This window comes from Homo sapiens, chromosome 20, assembly GCF_000001405.40.
Source record: "Homo sapiens chromosome 20, GRCh38.p14 Primary Assembly".
In the NCBI taxonomy this organism is placed as follows: domain Eukaryota; kingdom Metazoa; phylum Chordata; class Mammalia; order Primates; family Hominidae; genus Homo; species Homo sapiens.
This window is the reverse complement of record NC_000020.11, coordinates 48,393,780-48,400,981: the sequence shown is the minus strand read 5'-3', so window position 1 is coordinate 48,400,981 and position 7,202 is coordinate 48,393,780. Positions and strand designations below refer to the sequence as shown.

General features: G+C 52.6%; 1 long non-coding RNA gene across 4 annotated transcripts; it reads right to left on the bottom strand.

Annotated features, from left to right (window-relative positions):
• Window positions 1-1,018: 1,018 nt before the first annotated feature.
• On the bottom strand, window positions 1,019-6,801 carry LOC105372643 (uncharacterized). 4 transcript variants are annotated; one of them, XR_007067636.1, is made up of 4 exons: window positions 6,082-6,801; window positions 5,776-5,868; window positions 4,627-4,794; window positions 1,019-3,113 (listed from the first exon to the last, which is right to left on the bottom strand). It is a non-coding gene; the product is annotated as an uncharacterized LOC105372643 (long non-coding RNA). The 4 variants fall into 4 exon arrangements; XR_007067635.1 differs by having other exon boundaries at window positions 1,019-3,109; XR_936812.3 differs by having other exon boundaries at window positions 5,776-6,801.
• Window positions 6,802-7,202: the final 401 nt, after the last annotated feature.

Genomic DNA, 7,202 nt, shown 5'->3' with positions numbered 1-7,202 from the left:
TGTTCACTCCCACGCAGGAGGGAAGCGATAAGCACCTGGAAGGGCCCTCAGGGATGCCAGGCGGTGCCCGGCCTCCTGGCAGAGGCTCAGAGGTGATGCCCTGTGGGACTAGGAGGCCCATTAGCAATACCTCTGCATGTAATGGGCGATTTTGCCAGAGATGGGAATGCTCAGAGGGAAGTGCAGGGCCCGCCTTCTGAGCCCAAGGCCCAGGTTCCTCCTCCTCAGAGAAAGGGAAGAGTTGGTGAGAGTGAGGAGCAAGCAGGCCAGGCCACGTGGGATGGGGACCGGAGGCTCCCGGGTGACCTGCAGCTGGGCTTGCTTGGTGCTGCTTCTGCGACCTGCTCTGTGCTGCATGTTCCTTGCTCTCTGGTCTCCCTGAGCTGGTCTTGGAGCAAGGCTAGGGGTTCAGAGCCCGAGGCTGCTTTGAGGCCACCCCCAGGTGTTGCCAGAGCAGCCACAGAGGGGAACTGTCTGCTGGCTCACCTGGCCATGCCTGTTTGAACACCTCCTCCCGTCTCTGCAGCCTTTCAGGCTGTCTGGAAAAAGCAAAGGGAAGCTGAGGTAGGACATCATTTTTCCTGATTACTGGTGCAGCTCCCTAGCAGAGTCGGTCACTCCTCCAGACCTCGAGGGAGGCCCTTCCCTTGGGGACCCACGGTCGATGTTCCTCCTGCTGGCTCATTCTGGAGTGGCCTTCCCGGCCCTGCACTGGGCAGTCATGCTCCCCTCCCGGCACCTCTCACCCCTGACAGCCATCCTCAGCTCTGCCTGCTCTGTGCCCAGGGTCTGTCCTGCAGGCCCCTGCCAGGCTCCCTCGGCCTGTGGCTTTGGGTCAGTTTCAGTCAATGGGAGACACCAGCAGGAGGAGAGGGGGCAGAGGAGCAACAAAGGGGGGGCGCTCTTTCTTTCCTGGCCCCCTGCTTCAGCATCCTGTCTCTCAGGGTCCCTCTGTCCTTCCCTGATGATTGGTCAGGTGGGTGGCTGCTTCTTCTCCTTGTCCCATCCTCCCCGGGGATGGTAACAGCTTCTGACTGCTGCTAATCTCTGTGTGCCTCAACTTCCCAATTCATTCTTTAGCCCTGACTGCCCCTCTGCAAAGGGTCCCTTCATTCATATCTGATTTGAACCATAGGGGGTGAACTCTGCTTCCTCTTGAGACCTTAACCCTGATGTCTCTGAAGGATTTGGGGTCCTCTGATGTGAACCCAGTCCTGTGTCAATAATTGATAAAGCTGGCAGGAAAATGTGAGATCAGAGTACTAATTATCAAATTAATATTTAATCCAAGGTTAGAGTAATAATGATTAATATGACTACTAACAAAGCACATATATATAATTTTGTTCTTGTGACATCAGCTCCAAAACCTATGCAGGGCACATGTGATTATGTCCATACTGAAAGTGAGTGTATTTATTAATCAATGTTCTTCAGAGAAACAGAACTAAAGGGAAATGTATATATATATGCATGCGTGTGTGTGTGTGTGTGTGCACGTGGAGAGAGAGAGAGAAATTTAAGGAATTGGCTCACATGATTGTAGAGGCTCGGTAAGTCCAAAATCTGCAGGTTAGGCCAGCAGGCTGGAGACCCAGGGCAGAGTTGCTGTTGAGTTCAAAGGTCATCTGCTAGGAGAATTCCTTCTTGCTTGGGGGCCCTCAAAGCAGCTGCAGCAACAGAGTCTGACCTCCCAGCAAGGAGCTCCTGCTGGAGGTTTGTTTACTTTGAACAAAAGCTCACAAAGATGCCTACGATTCCCTCTGCAAATAGGAACTTTCCATTTCTGCATTACGCAGGGCATACGTGTGTCATTTAGGTGTTAAAACAGACCAGAATGTGTTCTCCTGGCCAGAAGTGAGCAAAGCCAACTCCAGCTGCAGTTCCCTGACAGCCCAGTGAATTAGGCTGAAGGAAATGGCCCCACGTGGAGGTGGGAAAGGCCCACAGAGGATGGTCGTGGTGGGAAACTCAGCAGGCAGAAATGTTCTCTTGGTTTCTGGGAGGCTGGAGGTTTCCCAAGGGGCCGATGAAGTTTCAGCCTCAACTGATGGCAGCAGCCTCTCCAGATGGCCTGCCACTGCCATCACACCAGCTGTAGCAGGGAGGTGCAGCCGGGGTTGACCGCTCCATGGAGTTGACAGGAGCTGGGGACAAGTGGGAGCCCTGCCCCTTCCAAGCTGGGGCAGGAGCTCCCCAGGTGCCGCTGCAGCCATTCATACCACGGCTGCAGGCCTGGGCTTCCCACTCCACAGAGCGCGCAGGAGCCCCACCCTCCTGTGAGGGGTTGCACCAGCCCAAGTCATGGCTGCAGATCTGAGCCTCCCTGTGCTCTTTGGGGGCTGGGAGCAGGCAGGAGCCCTGCCTTTCCAGGTGCAGCTGCAGCTGCCCAAACTGTCGCTGCAGACCCGGGCCTCCTGCTCCATGCAGCAGGCAGGAGCCTCACCACCTGCAACCCGCCCCCCAGCCCCCTCCAGGTACAGCTGCAGTCACCCAAACCCTGGCTGCAGACTCGGGCATCCCTGCACTCTTGGGGACCCAGGGAGGCCCTCCTGCCATCGCAGGCTCGGAAGTGCCTGCTCCTGCTGCCTGGCTTCTCCCTACTATGGGTGCCAGCTTCATTCTTGAAGCAAAGTCTGGGCCTAGCCCGGGTGCCATGAAAGGCAGCAGGAGGCAGACAGATTCCTGGGTGGAAGGGGATGGGTCCCCGGTGATTCCCAGCCACATGTCCAAAGAATCTTGAAGGAATAGGATGGTTGGTGTGGAAGAAGGCTTGTGAATTCTGGATTTAGCTTTGAGTGCTTCAGCCGACCTGGAATGTATACCTGTGCAGGTGGTTGCTGGGTAGGGTGACCACTACTGTCTCTCTCCATCACCCAGGGCTGTGCTCAGCTCAAAGCAACAGAAGCCCAGGCATGGTGGCATCTCCGGGGGGACGTTGCCTTATTCCAGATTCTCAGGTCCAGGGGCAGAGGGTCCAGGGGAAGTCTGGGGCCGCAGGATATCGCCCAGAGCCTGGCTTCTTCTGCCTTTCTGCCACCATCCTCAGCTGGTGCCTTCACCTTGAGGCCTCCTGTGGCTGCTGGTGCTGCCGCTCTTGGCCTCCTGTCTGCCTTCAGCCAGGAGAGGAGAAAGGAGGAGGTGAGAGGAGGAAGGGGCTTAAATAGAAGGCCACACTTACCCAGAATCCCTAGTAGCCGCCTGTTCTGCAACCCCCTCCTTCCCGCACCCCCCCACCACTGGCTAGAGCTGTGTCACACAAGGATGAGCAGCCAGAGAGCTGGGCACCATCCAGGGAGCGCGTGATCATCAGGGTCTTGTTGGTAAGAAAAGGGCATGTGGGTAGACATCTGGAGTGCCTGTCATGGTCCAATTAACTGGCTAAAGGGATTTGTGGGTGTGCAGCTGTTTTCAATCAAAAGTACGTAATTCACATCTTCCCAAACACAGATTCCTGCTTTTGAGTAATGAAGGCGGCCAAACCACATGACCCTGCCTGCAAAGATTCCACCTGGACTCCCGGTTCCTCCAAGGAACCGTCGTGTGGTTCAAATCCAACAGAAATTCTCCAAATCTCCACCCTCCTCAGGGTGCAGAGTTGGCTGCTTCTCTGTGCCCCCTGCTGATCACCACAACCCCTGGGTGCCTCAGCCTGCGAAGCCCCAGCTGTCCTCCGTCTGCAGACAAGCCAAGGTGTGAAAGCCTCCTCGCTGGCCCAGGAGCCTGTCATTGTCCTCCAGCAGCTCTAGCCTGGATGCGGTCCCAGAGATAAATCATATCTCTTTAAAAAGCCACAGTGGCCCATTATTTCTGCTTGAAAACACCCCTGGCTCTCTGCTGGTGAGCTGGGTGACAGGCCCCGGCTGTTGTGCTCAGCGCTGCATACAGTCACATCAGTCTGTCGACTTGTGTAGTGAGCAAGCTGGTAGCTTCAGATGGCGTGCACATGAAATCCCGTCCTGGCATCCAGGACTTGGCCGGGGGTTGCAGGGAGCCATGTCTCCTGAACAGGTAGTAATATTTTACAGTCCCCGCCTCATGCCCATGCGAAATGCCCTGTTCATACCTGGCTACATGGGCAGTAGCAAAAAAGACACAATGGCAATCCCCGGGCTACCTTTTGCAATATTCAGCAACACTTTCTCAAAGAAATTGCAATCTTGAAAAATAAACTGAATACAATTAAAGAATTACTCTGGATATCTCAACCGGAAGAACATTGTGAACCACCATACACCCATCACACAGGCTCACAGTTATCAGGGTTTGCTCCTTCCTTCGAGCTCTCTCCCTTCTTCCTGCCAACTTATTTTAAGGCAAACCCCAGACCTCACGTGGATGTTTTCTAACATAGCTGCAATATCTTTATCACCTCCAACAAAATTAAAAATAATTCCCCATAATTGTCTAACATTCAGTCCATGTTCGAATTTCTCCAGTTGTCTCCCAAATGTCTTTTTCCTGTTGCTTTTTGTCAATCAAGATTCAACAAGGGCCACATGGCATCTGGTTGTTAAGTCTCTAGTGTCTCTTTGGTTGACAGTGATCCCTTCTCCCTCATTTTACTTTTCATGTCGCTGCTTGTTGAATTCCCAGGAGCAGTTGCCTCTGGGGTGCTACACTTACCCAGAATCCCTGGCAGCCAGCTGTTCAAAGAATCTTGAAGCAATCAGATGGTTGGTGCGGAATAAGGTTCGTGAATTCTGGATTTAGCTTTGAATGCTTCAGCCAACCTGGAATTTGTCTGAATTTGTCTGCCTGCTGCCTCATGGTGGCCCATTTTATTCCCTCTACCTGGAAGGACAAGTGGATACCTCTGAGCAATCTTGGGGAAGAGATCATGGTTTCCGTTGTTAGGAACAACGCTCAAAATCCTAAGGAAATTGAACACTTGAACAAAAGATTCTTAGCAAAGCAATTTTACTTCTGCGCAGAGGAGTGCCTCCTTGGCCAGTTGCCATGAGAACACATCTGAACAAATGGCACGAGAGCCTTTATTCCTGAGGCAAGTCCTGCCCCTGTACCCTTTCCCCATTGGCTGGGGTCGGGTTGTACAATCTAAACTAATCCCGGTTGGCTAAACATTTGATTTTTTTTTTAGATAGGGTGGGTATGTAAAAGAAAGTGGAGAGAAAGGGGAAGGGGGTGTCTGTAATGAGCTAGAAAGTTAGTCCCCTTTCCGTGTAAGGAAAGGAATGTGAGCTGGTACTGATAACGCTTGGTACTGAGGCGTGCCTGGGCATCTAACAAACAAAGGCAAAAAGGAAAAAGAAGAAAAGGTGGGGGAGGGAGTACTATGAATTAAAGGATAAAAGATTGATCAGAGTATTTAAAGAGAAACCCCATTATATCCCACACCATTAAACCCAGCCTGGGGTTTGAAAACTCTGAGCAAGGGAAAATATGTGCTTCAAGAAGATTTCCTGGATTCTTGCTGAACTAGCAAGGCAAGTGTTTGCTCTTAAGCCTTACCACCTCATTCCCTAACAGCTCTGCTCTAGGTTGAGTCACTTTAATGAACTGCCCTGCCATTCCCAGGTGAGATGTGAATTAGAACCTGCGGTCCCGATACCAGGACCGTGTTCTCAGTATGTGAAGAAACCCTAACAGTCTAGACAGAATGAACGCCGAACCGATGAAGGGGCCAGGTCTACACAAGCACACCCATGGGGCAACCCGAGGGCGCGTTATTTTGGCCTGAGTTATCTCCTGGGTCACAGGTGTGAGACTAGGAAGGTCAAGGTTCACTCATTATTGTTATGGAAAGACACTGACCCTGTGTGCTGGGCTCTGCCTTGGGCGCCTTCTTGTTACATCCTCAGATCAGCCTCAGGATGGCTCATGATTCCCTCATTCACAGACGAGGACCTGAGGCTCAGGAAAGACGCATTTGCACAAGGTCTCGCATCTTGTAGGTCTGGATTCAGCCTGGACCCACGGTTTCCACTCTTGCCCTAATCCTCCATTCCCTCCCAGCAGCCAGTCAGTGGCTGTCCAGACATGTGCACCAGCTGTGCTGCACCCCCACCATATAAACTCCAATCACCTCCCACTGCTCCCGTGAACCCCAGAAGAGCTTACCCTGTCCCAGGAGGCTCTGCCTGATCCACACCCCGCACCGCTTTCTGCATCCCTGCAACCTGCTCTCCCTACGTCCTCAGTCCTGGCATCCTCTCTGTTCCCTGGACTTGTCCAGCCCAGTCCTGCCTCCAGGCCTTGGCACCTGCTGTGTCCTTGACCTGGCGTGATCTCCTGATAGCTGTTACTGGGCTGGAATCTTCTCAGTGCTCAGCTTGAGCTCAAAGCTCACCTCTTCAGAGAGGCCGTCCTCACCTCCCCATCCAATGTGGCCTTTCTTCCCTTTGCTCTTTCAATTCCCAGTTTGTTTCCTGTAGAGCAGTTTCACCCTCTTCAATCTTGTTTTTTATTTCCTTGTTTATTGTGCCTCCTTTACCAGAACACTCACCCTCTGAGGGCCCGGGCCAGGTCTGTCCTGGTCAGAGCTGTATTCTAGGACCTAGAAAAGTGCCTGGCACAATACCTGCTCAGCAAATGAAGGATGGATTGATGGACAGAAGCCTGTCTTAGCTGAAGGCCCACTTACTGAGCCTTCAAAGTGAATCTAGGCCCTTGGCTGTTTATATCTCTTTTGTGGTTAAATACCAAAGGGCCTTGACAAATCCCTGTTTTGTTTTATGTTTTTTCTCTGTCTCAGTAGCCTTCTCTGCCCATCAGTCCACCTCGAGGAGTTGTAAGTCACCAAGGGCTCTGGGCAGCAAAGCCGTTCCTCAGCAACAAGGAAATGATGTGTGGGATTTCTGTTCCCGCTTTGTCCGTGAGTTAGGCTGAATAAAGGCAGCTTCTTCTCCCCACTCTTGCATCAGCTTCCTAGGGCTGCTAGAACAAGTTCCCACTCAGTTGGTGCCTTAAAACAATAGAAATTCGTTCTCCCACAGTTCTGGAGGCCAGAAGTCCAAAATCCCAGGGCTGTGTTCCCTCCAGGGGCTCCCCAGGCGACTCGGTCCCTCACCTCCTCCCACTTCTCGGGCTTGTGACTGCATCGCTCCAGTCTCTGCCCCTTCCTCCTCTGTGCGTCTGTGTCATCTCCCTCTGCCTGTTTCCCATAAGGACTCTTGCGATAGCATTTAGGGGCCACCTGGGTGATCTAGCGCAATCCTTCCATGTCAAAGTCCTTAACTTCA